The sequence below is a fragment of the Homo sapiens genome, chromosome 7, assembly GCF_000001405.40.
Source record: "Homo sapiens chromosome 7, GRCh38.p14 Primary Assembly".
Taxonomy (NCBI): Eukaryota; Metazoa; Chordata; class Mammalia; order Primates; family Hominidae; genus Homo; species Homo sapiens.
The window spans coordinates 37,516,820-37,533,532 of record NC_000007.14 but is presented as its reverse complement, the minus strand read 5'-3'; the positions used below and the strand labels follow the sequence as shown (position 1 = coordinate 37,533,532).

At 40.5% G+C, this 16,713-nt stretch overlaps 2 annotated features.

The window, feature by feature from the left end:
- Positions 1,953–2,247: a silencer, noted in NCBI's record as "tiled region #7218; HepG2 Repressive non-DNase unmatched - State 24:Quies, and K562 Repressive non-DNase unmatched - State 24:Quies". NCBI's record gives its function as "represses a minimal TATA promoter and a strong SV40 promoter by Sharpr-MPRA in HepG2 and K562 cells {active_cell/tissue: HepG2 | K562}" and the evidence as "EXISTENCE:reporter gene assay evidence [ECO:0000049][PMID:27701403]".
- Positions 2,762–3,262: an enhancer, noted in NCBI's record as "H3K27ac hESC enhancer chr7:37569874-37570374 (GRCh37/hg19 assembly coordinates)". NCBI's record gives its function as "activates a minimal SCP1, AML or CMV promoter by ChIP-STARR-seq in primed H9 embryonic stem cells {active_cell/tissue: H9 hESC(primed)}" and the evidence as "EXISTENCE:reporter gene assay evidence [ECO:0000049][PMID:30033119]".

Below are 16,713 nucleotides of genomic sequence, written 5' to 3'. Positions count from 1 at the left end.
AAAGCAATGATCAGGAACTCAGGCACTACAGGTACACAGGTGCAACCACTTTGTAAAACAATTAGGGATTGCGGAGTAGAATTCAAAATGCTCTAATTTACAATCCAAAAAGTCCATTTCTAAGAGTGGATCTCAAACTTTGCTGTATATCACAGTTACCTGGTATGTTTTTTACAAATCCTGATCCCTAGGCTGTACCCATACAATTAAAAAAGAATCTCTGGCATAAGACCCATACATCAGTATTGTTTAAAACATCCAGATGATTCCAAGGTGAGCCAAGCTTTCTAGCCAGCAGCACCCTCTGGGCTGTAGCTTTTGACTGCTCTTCAGTACTGGCTGAAGTGGAGGAGACCCAGAATTAGCAAGACACCCAGTAGGCTGGGAGCCCCTTGAACAAAATCCCATTCATGCTTCCCATCCACAACACCCTACGAGTAAGAAAGACATCCTCTCCAACTTGGATATTTACCTCTTGTGCCACACAAACAAGGAAGTCCTCCAGCAGCCCTTTGGTCCAAGACACAGCTAGGTTTTCCTCCCTAAATACCAGTGGGGTAGCTCCTCTCAAAGTGTACAAACTGAGAAGTCTCATTTTTGGGTTCTAGGGCTGGTTGCTGGGAGGTCAGACAGGATACTGGAAGATGTAGCATTAGTCAGAGGTCTAAATTGAATGGTTCCAGCAGTTTGTAGCAGAAGGTCTCTTTTACGACATCCATTTAGCAGCAGGGTGACTACTCTAGCCATGCAAGCCTACTCAGCAAATCAGAGCTTCCTCATTATTTTGTAACAGTTGATATAAAAATGTTTGATTGAATTTAAAATTGAGTTGCGTTAGCAAGGTATTTTCAATGTAACGCTTGTCAATGAAAAAACAGAGCTTTTTGACTCATTATCATTTTTGAATTGTTATTAAATGATTTTAAAATTTTTATTACCTACCTTGACAGCAATGGTTTTCATCAGTGGTGACTATCAAGAATTTAAAGACATCATCATTTTAAATCTTGACCAGAAATTGCATGTAACCATTTCATGCATAAAGCCTGACTTAAAAAAAAAATTATGTTCAAGGAGGAAAGCTTAAGTTTCTCTTTTTAAAAATGTTGAAAGCTTCCATGCGGAAATTTTATACAAATTCATTTTTTAATACAATTATGTAATATAAAAAAATTCTTTTTTCACCAAGACCCATGGAGATGCCTCCAAACACCCTCCAGTTTACCCCTGTGTGTTGAACAAATGCTGTCATTTTCTATGTCTGTCATGATGGGTCAGGAAGTATGGCCGTAAAAAGAAACTTTTCATGAAACACATGCAAAAACATTTATAGAAGCCTTGTTTGTAACAGCAAAATACACTAGAAACCACCCCCAAATTCATCACAATGGAATGGATAAACGGTGGTGTGCTTATTCAATGGAGTAGAATGCAGCAGGGGAAACAGTGAACTACAGGGACAGGTTAACATGGAGGAATCTCAAAAGCTCGTATTAGGCAAAGGAAAAAAAAAGCAAGTCACTAAAGAAAACTACACAAAGTTCAAAAAATAGGCAAAACAAATGACACATTTTTAAAAGAGGGGATTGATGATATTTTCAGGAGAAAATAAAGTCCCTAAATATAGCCACTCTAGCAATGCCCCTCACACAATCCAATCTCCACTGTACCTCACCCACATTGGCCCATGGATTCACTGCCTCTTCAGGCTACACCCAGAAAAAAGATGCTCTGCCATGTCCCCAACTCATCTGGAGTTCCCTTCCCCAGATCTAGGGCTCGGCTGAGGGATAAAGAAGACCCCTTCACTTCTCAGGTATCCACTGGGGTCTAAGGTTTTGCGTCCTTGAGTATCCTACCAACAAATCAGATTTGATTTCGTGTACTAGAAGCAAATCAAGCTCTCCCATCATCTTGAATTTTTCCTCACTCTTTAAAAACCCAAGAAAACTCTTTTTCTGTCAAAAATCTTGGCTCCGGCTCTATTACCAGAAGTGTTCATAACAGTGGCGTCTATTCAGACACTGGACTGACTAATTCTGAGCCCGCCATCTCCCACAGCAGTGGGCAACTCAATAAGAGGAAGGCCAAGGCAACAATATGTTAGGAAACATCTGCTGTTTCCTTGAAATTTTATCTCACCACAGCAGAATTCATGGCACCACAGGAGCTTAGAGAACGGCTTTACAAATTTAGATAATGCTTTATTTACCTAATCCTTCGGGAAATCTGCAGAGATATTTTTTTTTCTCCATAACAGATGTTCACTACCTGCAACTCCCACGCTGTTTAATTTAACAATGCTTGATGGAAATATTTTTATCACATATTATATACTTTCCTAATTTATTCGATATATCATCCAGAAGACAATGACTGTATTTGCAAAAGAAGGTCACCTCATTAAAAATATTAATTATTGGCCAGGCAGGGTGGCTCACACCTGTAATGCCAGCATTTTGGGAGGCTGAGGTGGGTGGATCACGAGATCAAGAGTTCAAGACCATACTGGCCAACATGGTGAAACCCCGTGTCTACTAAAAATACAAAAAATTAGCTGATTAGCCGGATGTGGTGGCGCAGGCCTGTAGTCCCAGCTATTCAGGAGGCTGAGGCAGGAGAATTGCTTGAACCCGGAAGGCGGAGGTTGCAGTGAGTTGAGATCACACCAATGCACCCCAGCCTGTCAACAGAGCGAGATTCCATCTCAAAAAAAAAGAATATCAATTATTATCTTATGCTACCCAGTAGCTCTGGAAACTATCACGGGTTAGGAAAATGGGCAGGAAACCTTGGCTTTCACTCACCCTGGCTGGTCTGTTCTTCTGTGTCCTTCCTTACATCAGCCATAGCTCATGGCTGCTAGCTTGTGGTCAGCAGTAGATCTTCTGTTTACAACAAGGTGTCCATGCTTCTCCAGGTGTGATCCTTGGGCCTGCAGCATCAGCATCGCCTAGGACCTTTAAGAAATGTAGACTCTTTGACCATCCCCAGACCCACTGCATGTGGATTAACATTCTTTGGCACAGAATAATTCCTAGCATAAGGTGAGCTAGGATACTTGTCCCTTGCCGTAACTCTGAACTGATATTGAGGCAGGAACTCAGTGAGGAAAAAAGAAAGTGGTAGGACAAAAAACAGTCTGAGACACAGGTGTTTTTCTTTTTTTATAGATGGGGCCTCACTGTGCTACCCAGGTTAGTGTACAATGGTGAGATCTTACCTGACTATGGGCTCGAACTCCTGGGTTCAACTGATCCTTCCACCTCAGCCTTTCAAGTAGCTACAACTAGAGGTGTACACCATCACACCCAGCTAATTTTTTTAATTTTTTGTAGAGTTGGGGGTCTCACTATGTTGCCAAGGCTAGTCCCGAACTTCTGGCCTCAAGTAATTTGCCTGCCCCGGCCTCCCAGATTGCTGGGATTACAGGTGTGAACCACCATGCCTGGCCCTGAGACACTTTTATGTCTCTAAATCTCATCAGCCCTGTTGCTACAGGAAATCATTACAATCACAATTACAAGAATGCACACAAACTTTGTCCTGCACAACCCCCAGATTATACTTTTGTTACTTTTTATCCTCTAAACATCCCCTGGTATTTATTCTGAATTAATTTCACTTGAATTACAACTTTCCCTGTGTTAGTAAAATGAGCATTGACTAGAGTGGGAGGGGCAAACAATGAAATCTACTTTGGGCTCCCCTGACCCCTGTACAGATTGTATCACGTGTTATGAAGCTGGACTGCCTGGGTTCGAGTCCTGGCTCTGCCTGTGTCACTGAATGACACTGTACAAGTTATTTCAACTCTCTGTTCCTCAGTTTCCTTATTTGTAATATATGACAATGATCTTAATTGCACCTGTGTCTCAAGGTGAGCTTAACAATCATATAAATTTATGTATATATGTACACATATATATATATATATATATATATGTAGTACCTAGAACCAAGGCTGGTAGCATTGGCAAATGCTCAATAGATCATCACTCTATCACTATTATTATCTTTTATTAGAAATAATTATATTTTTGTTATTATACTGATTATCTAAACCCAGACAGGAGGCCTTGAACCACTCATATTTGTTTCTTAACTCATTTGTTTTTAGCTATGAGACCTTGAGTAAATGTATTCACCATCTCTGAGCCTCAGTTTCCTCATCAGTAAAAAGAGGATAAAAATAGTACTTACCTCACAGTTGGCTAAGAGTAAAATGAGAAAAGTTTCTGTAAAAGTACCTAGACCTGGCACATATGGGCCTTAAGCAAATGTTAGCTGCCTTCTCTCCTTTGCCATGAAAGCAAATAGTCAATACAACTAAATAAGATGTGTTATTTTACATGTAATTCACATTCAAGGTGCCAGTTACGTGTATCTTCTACTCACCGTGCAGGGCGCAGCTGAAATGCCCCCTGCAGTGATGTCTCCCCATTCTCCCTGGGGGCCCCATAACTCTATCCTGACTTCTCCTAAAGTACTTGCCTTACCGGGTCATAACGTGTCTTGCATGTGCATCTCCCAACTATGCTGTGCACTTCTTGGGGGCAGGTATCAGATTTTATTTATATCTATGTCTTTAGTACCCCAGGCAGGGCCTGACAAAGAGCCAATAGTAAATACTTGTTGCATGGGTGGGTGGATGAATTGGTAGGTGTTGGGGAGCAAGGGTGGATGAATGAACACCTAGGGTAGCTCCCTGGCCCATTCTGCCATGGAAAGATTTAGAGACCTGGGGCAGCTATTTTCTAAAACACAGTAAGTTGAATTGCATCTTACTGGGTAAACAGGGCATTACTCCATTACATTGTGAATAACAAACCCTTTCCTCCTAGGTACATATACAGTCAGAAAACACAAACAAGTTCTTAGAATTTAGGTAGCCTCAATTCCATATCTGAGGAGTGTGTATATATTAGGGTTGTTTGAAGTTTATGCAAACCCTTTAGGATGGCATCCTAAGACCTCTCTGATCTTGCACCAGCCTTTCTCCCCGTCTTGTTTCTCCTGTCCCTTCACTACCTCCTGAGAACAGAGCAGTCCATGAACACTTTCCAGATGCCCCCTCATAGACAATTACCCCTTCTCTGCATTTCCTCAGAACACTGCACTATTTTTGTCTCTGCAATATTATTTATCCATTTTATAGCTGAGGAAACTGAGGATTAGAGAGATTAAGTAATTTGCCCAAAATCACACAGCTAGCAAGTAGAAGAACCAGGATTTGAACCTAGACTAACTGCAGAGCAAATGCTCTTGAACATTGTGCAAATAAAAGGGATGTTAACTTACTTTTGCAGTTATCTCAATATTACTCTGAAAATAAGTACTGATATGCTAGATTAGCACAAAGCATTAAGAAAAGTGATGAGTAATTGCCACAAATCGTAACTCATGGTTATTCCATGATTACTCCAATCTCTTTTTGAGGTTATTCCCATAGGAGCACGATATATACAAATACATATATACAGAGATAGGTATATAGATATATAGATATGGATAGATATAGACGATATATCTATCTATAGATATAGACGATATATCTATCTATAGATATAGACGATATATCTATCTATAGATATAGACGATATATCTATCTATAGATATAGACGATATATCTATCTATAGATATAGACGATATATCTATCTATAGATATAGACGATATATCTATCTATAGATATACATATAGAGATATAGAGAGTGTCAGTTTCAAATTTATAATCTATGTTACACCAGGCACAGAGTAAAGGGTAAAGTTCAAAGCAGGGTCAAATGAACAGAAATAATTACTCTTGCATTGGCTCTTTTTCCCACTTACTATTGCAGGAATTACAACTCCCTGCCAAGCCTCCCTGAGTCTGTTAATTTTATGGAATCCCTTGGGATATCATGGATATAAGACTGTGCTGGCAACAAACATGTGGCATTGAGCTTCTCTTCGCCTGTGTGGTTGGCACCTTGGATAAGGCTTGCTAAGGCCGCCTCAGCTGTCACTGGTGTGGCAGTGCTATATTTTCCCCAATTTACCATCTGACGGTCCAACTATAAGGCAAGAGAATGCTTGTCTTCTTTTACAGTTCCCTTAGGACGCTAAACTCCAAAGTCATTTTAGATTGCCCCGTGTCCTTAGGGTGTAGCAAAACCAGTTCCTTTTGTTTCTACCTAGAGACCGAACAACTGGGCAGCTGACCAGTGCCCAGTATGGACCTTGAACCCCATCCTCCAGGGCCCCACCTTCTCCAGCATACACTGTCCTCCCAGTGCTTCAGGAACCAGACTCAAGGTTTGAATTTGACTTTGAAGCCTCCTGGATTTTGGTGTGCCCTGTAAATTGCTTAGGGTAATAACACCACCTTGCACTTTTATAGTTCTCTTCCAAATAAACAGTGCCTCCTTGTACTTTATCTTATTAATGTTTGTCACCAGTTGTGGAGATAGGCAAAGCTATCACTAACTGCCTCCGATTTGTAGATGAAGAAACATGGACAGGCATTAGGAAATACAGGGGAAAAAAATAAAAAAACATGATACCTAAAGAAAGGCCAGATTCTGTCTTTGTTTAGTATAGGTAGAGAAACCTAAGTAGCCGCTCAAATCATGGTTCTCAATTTCAATTACACAAAAGTCTCTTACCCAGTAGCTTGATTGAGACCAGATGTTCCTTTTCTATGTTTAGGACAAAATGTGAAGAAATGTTTTCAAACACTGTATTCCTGAGGCCTTAGAGTCGGTATGTGGAAGAAGGCTATGATGACACAATGGAATGAGATTACTGAGGGAAGTTTCAGGCCATGTTTAAAATAAAGATAGATTTTAATCTCTCTGGAATTGCTTGAGGACTTTCATAGACGGAAATAAATGATATGACTACAGGTGCTCCCCCACAATCTCGTGATTTGGGGTTTTTGTGTGTCATCTACAATTCTCAGTGTGACCAAAAGGAATCTGGAGAAACATTTTCCCAAGAAGGTTCTGTTCTTAAATGAGGAGTAGGTAGCTTATTTGATCACATAACTTTAGGAAATTCTCAGTTAAGCACAATTAAACAGGTTTTGTTTTTTTGTGTTTGTTTCTGCAATATTCCTTAAGTTTTTGCCTTTAAGCAATTTGAATTTCTATGAAAAAGAAACAGCATTCTCTATTTCCTTAACTATTTTCCACAACATTATTTTTCCAACAGCATTTTGAAGGATGGAATTTCACAAAATACATTTGAAAAACACTGGCCTCAACCCAATGTATAGGTATTATTTGTAGGAAAAACATTTTGCTCCTGTGCCTAAATTATTTCCAAACTTATCAATGTTATAGATTTACTGCATTTGTACTTTTGAAATGTTAACACTATGAATTGTAATCTTTGTTTAAAATATTACTTATTAAAATGATTGTTTTTGTAAAAAAAAAAAAAAGAAGCAGAAATAGAATATTTAAACAAGAGTTGAGAATAATTCTATCAGGTATTTGAGGTGCTTCAACAATTTTCCTGAAAATTTTATTGTGTAACAAAATGCAAAATCTCTTCTTCACCCCATAAGGAAAGGAAAGAAAGAGATGAGTATAAGTGAGCCAATGGGTTCCCAAAAGGCCTCTTGGAGTTCATGAAAAAGGTTAGAGACCCAGAACAGAAAGCAAGGGATGTGAAAAGAGCTGCATTGAACTGTAAGGGTGATGGGTTTCATCCAGGGTGGCCTCAGTTTTCAAAATCCCTAATTTCTCTACTCTGGCCTTTTTACCCATGGTCTTCCAAGACACACCTCTGTCCTCAGCCATGCTTCCTTTTGGATCTGTCAAGGACTGAAGCATATCCTCTCCTAGGCAAAACCTTGTGAAGGAGTGGCAGAGAATCTGCCCTTGGGTTTGCTGCAGCAGACCACACAGGAGTTCAATTAGTCCTGATGTTCAAGCTCAAATTCCAACTATCAGCCTTCATGGCTGCCTGTTAGGACAGCCTGAATTGACTAAAGCCATAAAGATCCAATCAGGTACACTAGATAATTAAAAGAAAACTTAATGCAGTAAAATTCCCCATAAGCTTCCTTAAAGAAATATATTTCTGGGACACCTTTTGCCCCATCAGTTGTTCCTCACTCCGCTGGCTTCTACGTTTCCAGGAGAAGCTTCTCTTCCAGCTGCCTTTGAGCATCTCGTAGAATGATGACTATCAACAGGAGAGACACTGCCTAACATCAACCACAGAAAGGCTCCCAAGGGGATAAGGAACACAGGCAGAGAACTGTATTTTCTTGATGTCTCTGCTCCTATGCAAAAAGAGGCTGTTGGAGAGAGGATTTAACTCCACCTAACAAAATTGCCATAACATCATTGTAAATGACTTCCCAGTGGCTACTGCTCAATGCACATCACCCACCACCACCCACAGCACCCACAGCCCAAATCCTAACACTTGGCAGCAATCGTTTGTCTTACACATATTATCTTATTTTCACAAGAAACTGGAGCTGCCAAAAGGCCCTGTGAACAAACACAGCCTGGCAGATGCCATGACAGGCCCGGAGTACAAGGCCCTGGAAAGGGGACTGGCAAGCTGACATGCCTCCCCACATCCCAGCAGGCAGAAAGAAGGTGACAGACACAAACTGAGCTGCATGTTAATGTCTCCAAAGTTCAGAGAACAGAACACAGGAGACACAGAAGGAGAAATTAATATGGAAGAGTTTCAAAGTGAAGCAAAACATTTGTCACTACTTCAGCCACTGAGTAGATTTTCAGATTATTTAAAAGCAAAGGCAGCCTTATAAACAAAGTACAACTATATAAAATACATTTTTAACTAGAAAGAACAATCCAGGGATATTTTAAATGCCTCATATAATGGAAATATTTGTTTTTAAATAGGAGGAAGGAAAATGGTTCACTGGAGTCTTTTGAATGAAGGACCGGGAAAGCATATTTTCACAGTAAGTGGTACCATCTTGCCCATGGACCCACCAGTTTCCAGGGGTCCTTCAGGGAGGAAATCACCCCAGGCCCAGTGCCACTCTTTGGTTATGTCCTCTAAGCTGCCACCTTGCCAAAAGAAGCTGTTCAAAATACAGGACTTTTCACGTCCTCCCCTTACTTAAACATAACAGTGGCTCCTTTCTTGCCCTCGAAGTACAATCTAAAATCATCAGCACGGCCTACCAGTCCCTGCATGACTGCCTGCTGCCTGCCCCTCTGTCCTCAGGCATCACCCACATTCTCCCTATTCCATTACTCATTCTCAGGCTTTCTTCATCCCCCAACCTTACACATGCTGGTTTTTCTTCTCCTCTACTGAGTCAATTATGAGCCATTCTTCAAGATCCCGGCCACATTTATTCTTCTCAGTGCTTCCCTCATACCTCTAGGCAGCATTCCTTTCTCCCTTGTCTACAACCCAGAATACTCTGTGCATCCCTCTGTCACAAGGTTATTTGGTATTGTGATGAGCTGTTAGAATGTTGGGGTCATGTTGGGATGGTAGGCTCAGGAGGCAGGTACTTTTCTTATTTCTCTTTGAATCTCTTTGATACCCTCTAAGCCAACATATCATCTGTTGGTCTAGAAAGATCTTTCTCTATTAAAATATGGAGAAACAAATAAACAAATTAAAAACATGAGGTGATTCATAAAATATCCTGATGCTTATGGAAAAGGTACTGCTTTCTGAAAACTTAGAAGATCATATTTCTAAAAATGGCTTTCAACAACAAAAGAGGAAGGAAGGAAGGAAGGAGGGGGAAAGAGGAAGGAGGGAAGATAAGGAAGGAGGGAAGGAGAGAGAATGAAAAGCCAGGGAAGGAGGAAGAAAGGAAGACAAAAAGGAAGGAAGAAAAAATTTAGCATATATTGGCTTGGTGTCTTCAAAATGACACGGAGGGTATGATCTTAAAAAAACAGGACCAGAGAACCATAAAGACAGAAGAGGTCAAGACAAAAGAAGAGATGTAATAGGAACTTCTGGAACTGAAAAAAAGGTAAAGAATTACAAAAGGCAAAAGCAAAACCAAGACTGAATTAGGGCAATAAAAAGTGATTTCTCATCATTCAGCCACACTTTCCACCCAGCACATCAGGTCCTGGCTTCTTCTTCCTACCCTATCTCTGCTACAGGAGTCCCAGCAGGTCTCCTGACTTAGTTCTCCCTAGTATGACATCTACAATTTCCAGTCCCTACAGTCTAGAAGTTTCTCAGCTGAGGGAGTGGGCAACAAGAAGGGCATGTAATCATCTTTCTTAGGCAGGTAACTTGTTGGATCTTGGTGACTGGATGCCCAAAAGCCAAAGAAAGTAAGCCATCAAAATAAGAGAAAAGAAAACTAGAAAATAACAAAAACAGTAAAAATAAAAATATAGGCGAGAATTTATTTTCCTCATAAAATATTCATTTTTCTTGTTTAAAGATTAAAAAATACATATGCTATGACAAACATTACAAAATTTGGAAAATACTCTATAACAAATATGAAAATGATGAAGAAAAGTATCCCCAAATTATCACTGCTGACATTCTAATCTATATATTTGAAATAACTTTCCATGCTAATACATAAAAAACTACATATCAATCATACACTCATACACATACCCTACACATCACTTTAAATCCCTGTTGCATGTATTCTATGAGAATAAATAAATCTAGATTCTCTAAGAGAGCATCTAAAATGATAAAGGTGTATTACTTTCTCAGACCACAGACCATTGTTATTATCAATAAGAGTCTGCCTGTCACTCCAGAGCCCCTTCCAGGTTGTGATACTAGGCATTCGGAGGCAATATCTTCAACATGTCTTCCAAGTTTGGAAAAGGGAAGAACAGAGGTCAACGTGTGCTTCTGTAAGCCAGGCCTCCAAGAGATTGCATCACTTTTGCTCATATTCCATTGACTCTATATCAGTCACAGAGTCCTACATAATTGAAAAGGGATTAGGATATAAAACTTAGCTTTGTGCCCAAAATAACAGGAAACATACAGGTATTAGTAAGCATTAGCAATCTTTGAGATGTGTGGTAGTTTTAAAATATGTACACAAAATCTCTGGTGGAATCTAATTCCCCTCCCCCTGAGAGTGGGCTCAAATTCGAACATGACTCAGTACTAATGAAGAGAGTATGGTGAAAGTGACTCTGTGTGCCTTCTGAGAACTGGTCAGGAAAGGCACTGCACCTTCCTCTTTGCTCACTCTCTCTTCTTTCTTGAAACACTAAAGGAATGCCAGCTGCTGTGCCATGAAGATACTCAAACAGCCCTATAGGGAAGTTGAGTGTGATGTGGAATTTAAAATCTCTACAGGCCAGGCATGGTGGCTCACGCCTGTAATCCCAGCACTTTGGGAGGCTGAGGTGGGTGGATCACGAGGTCAGGAGTTCGAGACCATCCTGACCACATGGTGAAACCCCATCTCTACTAAAAAAAAAAATACAGAAATTAGCCGTGAGTGGTGGCACACACCTATAATCCCACCTACTTGGGAGGCTGAGGCAGGGGAATTGCTTGAACTCAGGAGGCAGAGGTTGCAGTGAGCGGAGATAGCATCACTGCCCTCCAGCCTGGGCAACAGAGTGAGACTCCTTCTCAAAAAAAAAACAAACAAACAAACAAAAAAACCTCTGCCAATAGTCAGCAACAAACTGAGACAGACTGCCTGCCAACAGCCATGTAAGAGGGCTAGCTTGAAAATGTATCTTCCAGCCCCAGTTGAACCTTCAGATGACCACAGCACCTTTAGATGACCATAGTCCCAGTCAACATCATGACTGCAACCTCATGAGTGATCCAAGCCAGAAACATCCAGCCAAGCTGCTCTTGGATTCTGACACACAAAAACTGTGTAAAATAATAAATATGTATTGTTTTAAGCCATTAGGTTTTGGGGTAATTTGTTATGCAGCAATAGATAATCAATGTAACAGAACACATACAGCACAAGCCTAGGTAAATATCACCTTATTGCTAACTGGGGCTTTGGGCCCAGATCCCAATGTGGAAACCATAATGGAGTCTCTATAACTGTCTTGCTTAAACTCAGTAGCCACGGGAGTTAGAGGCAAAGCCAGCAGAGGCACTTACTTACACATTTCCTTTACATACAGACTCATACCCTAGCCTTCTAATTACTGGCTTTCGAATGGCCAGGCTAGACCAGACTAAAGAAAAACAGACCAAGGAAAAGCAAGGAAGAGAAGGGGAATCTGACTCTGACCAACAAGCCCCTGGAGGTAGGAGGAGGGCAAATAGAAAGCTTGCAGGGGAGGCAGCTTCTCACCCCTTTTAGGAAAGAAGTTCTAGAAGAAAGGAAAGAAAATTTGCAGAGAGAGAAAAGCAAAAAGAAAAACTTTCCATTCTGACCTAGAATCTAAGCCTCCTTTCCTTGTTTCTCAAAATTCTCCACCTGCAAGTGCCTGGACTCATTAAATATCTGTGTACTCAGATCCATTCACATTAGGCTTCCTCTGACCTGGATGCGGTAGGTTAATGCAAAGAGGCATTATTTTTCCTGTGCTTCTTCCCTGGAGGCTAAATGGTGTTATTTCCTGGTCTCCTATGGCTATCTTTCTCTACTTTCTGATAATAAAGGCTCTAGCCTGCTTTAATTCTCATTTCTAATAATAGCCTATATTCTCAAGTTCATTTTCACTTAATGTCATACTCTACTCAAGTATGATATAGAGTTACTCAAACAACCAACAAAGTGTTTCCAAATTGAGACCCTGCTAAGCTGGCTTTAATGGACAGAATATTTAGTATATGAATTGTTTATACACAGAGACAAACATTAATTGTGTTGAGTTCATCAAACTCTAAAGTTCTTAAATGATTTGTTCTCTTAATAAATTAAAACCCTCTCTTTTTATTGAATTCTTACTAATTATTTTCATCTCAACAGATAGCTCATAATATGCTCTGGGTGAATTATCAACAAATCCTGAATTAATGTAGCTGAAATTAAAGAAATATTTCACCAGTAATAGCTACTTGGCTATTGTCCAGTAGCCATTTATTCCTTGATTAAAACACTAACTTGCCTGGTGGGTCATTCCTACATGAATAGATAGATAGATAGATAGATAGATAGATAGATAGATAGATAGATAGATAGACAGACAGAGAGGTTAGGGAGGGGGAGAGAAAGAGAGAGAAGGAGATTTGGATGTGCAGAAACAAAAAGAAGAGCTGAAACACATAAGACAAAAAGTCATTGCTGCTTGGCAGAAAACACAACACATTAGGCTTTGAGACATGGTTCTATGCCCTGCTCTGACATTTGTAACTTTTTTGCCCAAAGCAAGTAGTTGGAATCATTTTCCATGTCTGTTTCCATGTCTGTAGTAGGGAACACCACCACCCCTGCCCTGCCAGTAGTGTCAAAATACTTGAATGGAGGTGTCTTAGTCATTTCAGATAGCTAAAATAGAGTATCATAGACTAGGTGACTTCAATAACAAACACTTATTTCTCACAGTTCTGAAGACTGGGAAATCTAAGCTCAAGGTGCCAGCAAATCCAGTGTCTGGTGAGGGTCTTCTTCCTGGTTTGCAGATGACTACCTTCTTACTGTATCTTCATATAGCAAAGAGAGAGAGAGAGATACAGAGAGAGAGAAAGGAGAGAAAGGAAGCAAGTTTTCTTATGCCTTTTCTTATGAGGGCACTAATCCCATTACAAGAGCTCCACCTTTATAACCCAATTACCTCCCAAAGCATCCTATTTCCAAATACTGTCACATTGGGGATTAGGGTTTCAACATATGAATTGTGGGAAGAGGACACAGATATTCAGTCAACAGCATTAAATCTGTATTAGTCAAGGAACAAATAGGAGATGATGATGATGATGATGATAGATAGATGGATGATAGATAGATGATAGATAGATTAGATAGATAGATAGATAGATAGATAGATAGATAGATAGATAGATATAATGAAGAATTGGCTCACACAATTGTGGAGACTGAAAATTCCCACCATCTGCCATCTGCAAGCTGGAGACCCAAGAAAGCCAGTAATGTAGTTGAGTATGACTGCAAAGGTTGAGAACCAACAGAGTTGATGGTGTAAGTCTAAGTCTCAGAGCAGTAGAAGACTGACGTCCCAGCTTAAGTGGTCAGACAGCAGGGGCAAAATCTCTCTTCCTTGGCCTTTAGTTCTATTCAGGCCCTCAACAGATTGGATGATGCCCACCACATGTGCCATCTGCTTTACTTAGTCCAGCAATTCAAATGCTAATCTCAGCCAGAAACACACTCACAGATACACCCAGAAATCACATTTAGCCAAACATCTGGTCACCCCAATGGTCCTTTCAAGTTGACCCCTTGATCCAGTCAAGTTGACACAATAAAATTAACCATCATAGTAGGTGACAGTGTTCTGAGAGAATAATGAAGAGTGTAAGAAATCAGGAAGATAGAGAGAAAATGCTTCACCTGGCTATCACCTTCCATTCCTACCCCTTCACTTCCAAAATTACCTATGCTGCTCTGATGACAGTAGAGAAGGCTTCTCATGGGGATTCCATGGTGCTTCATTCCCTTGAAGCCTCTCTGCCAAACACTGTGGAGAAAGTGCCTGAAAGATGAGCCAGGGGAAGATTTGCATCAACTCTTTTTTTATATCTATTATATGCCAAACATTTTGTCCTTGCCTACTTCAAACCTATACTTCCAGAATGAACCCAAGCTCCCACTGAAATAAAGATAAACTATAAAAGTGACTTTCATATCTCTGAGGACACAATAGCCAAGACCCAAACTGTGATTGGATACCCTACCATGCTTGGCCCCAGACTAAAAGCACCAGTGTAATAAAATCATTCACTCCTCTTTCCTCCTCTCTCCTCAGATGTTGGCCTGATCTTTGCCCTCACTTTACAACTAAGAATTTTAATCATGGCACCCCAAGGCCTTACTCAAAGCCACTGAATTCTCATCATTTTATAAAGCCCACCCTGAGCTGCTGAGACTAACACACAGTTATAGTTTCACCTAGGATGCCCCTACTCCTACCTCCCCTAACACGATTGTCAAACAGAGCATGTTTCCTGCCCATATTTCCCATCATATATTCTGCTCACCTATGACATGGCATTTTGGTCAAAGCGTCATTGAATGAATCAGAAGCTGTGAGAGAGTTTCCACTTCACAAATAGTTTTCAGTGTAGGTGGTACTTTACCTTAGTGGATTTGTCAACTGCTTTTTCAGGCTCAGGAATCATGGCAACCTGTGCAGCACAGAACTCAAGAAAAAGTAGCCAAGAAACCCATTAATGTGACAAAAAAAAACTTCAAATGTGCTTGGACAGAGAGAGGGTAAGACAGATATCTAACACTAATAAAGTGACTTATAGGCACCTGGGCATCCTTAGAGGCCAAGGCCCCAGAAATACTTGTATTGTCATTGCAACTGTTTGTATTGACAAAATTAGTTTTTCATTTGCCAACAAAAAAATGTTCAAAGATGAGCTCTAACTTTTATTAATTCAGTCTGGATTTAGGGGGAGCTGGGGAAGAATTTCAGGAACATGTGGGTTTTTATAACCTCTACACAACTGATGAACATGCTAGTCACTTTAAGATCCTTTTCCACAGGGCCAGAAAGACCTATGCTCTCCAGCTTAGGTCTTCAGTCTCATCAGGAGAACCTCCTAGCCAGTTATGCCCACTGTCTACTCTATGTCTTCACTCAATGCCTTCCCTAACAGTCACCAGAGCTATGTTTATTAGAAGCTTCCCCAAAACTAGGCAGCTTGTAATAGATTTAGGGAGACTGGCTTCTGCCAATGGCTGTCAAGAGTTTATAAATCTTTATTGCCATTGTCACTACTGTCACCATAGACAATGGATTAGGATAAACCAGATCTGTTATCACACTAAATGGTGGACCCAAATAGTTTTGAGAGCCCTAGAAGGGTGAGTATGTCATATTTTAAAGTCAGAAGGAGAGTGAGGCTTTGCTCATTTTCTCATCCTAAGTAAGAACAAGCCCTGGGCTATGGCCCAGATTAATAACACTTAGCTATGGTCAAAGACCTGGCTTTGTGTCCTTGCAACTTTCACCGCCTCTATCCCTCTCTTCAAAATTGTGTGATGTGGATCCTGTTGACGTCTGTAGCAGACACCATGATGTACAGGGGGTCTTCAAAAGTTCATTGGAAAAACATATTATGAAAAAACTATTCATGGATTTCAAAATTTTTTGCACCAAAATAAACTCATAGTAACCTGTTATAAGATGTCTAAACAGGATCTAGTTTGAGGCACTAAGAAGAGCAAGACATCAGTTTGAAAAGAGCCCCACTGGAACAACATGCATTCTGCTAAAATTGAAATAAGAAAAAACATCAAGCTGATAATGAACATTGGGTGGAAGAATAGTGTGGTGTGAGGATGAGCAACAAAGTGGGCTTTGTACACTGCAAGGACAGGAATGAGAGGTGATGCAAGGGAAGGGTTAGCAGATTCCCAAAGGCTCTAACAGCAGAAAATAGATTAAGGAGGATAGAGAATGAGAGAAGAGATAAAATAACCACAACATCATCAAGGTCAGCAGCAGCCCTTGAGGAATGTGCTTGGTGCCGCTGTACACAGGCTAGACCTGAGCTGTCCTGAGGAGGGGTGTGGGTTCAGCACTGTGCCATCTGCCTGTCACTGCTCAGTATTTATTGAGTGCTTTTGAGCTGGAGACAAGGAAGTAAACACAAAAGGCAAAGG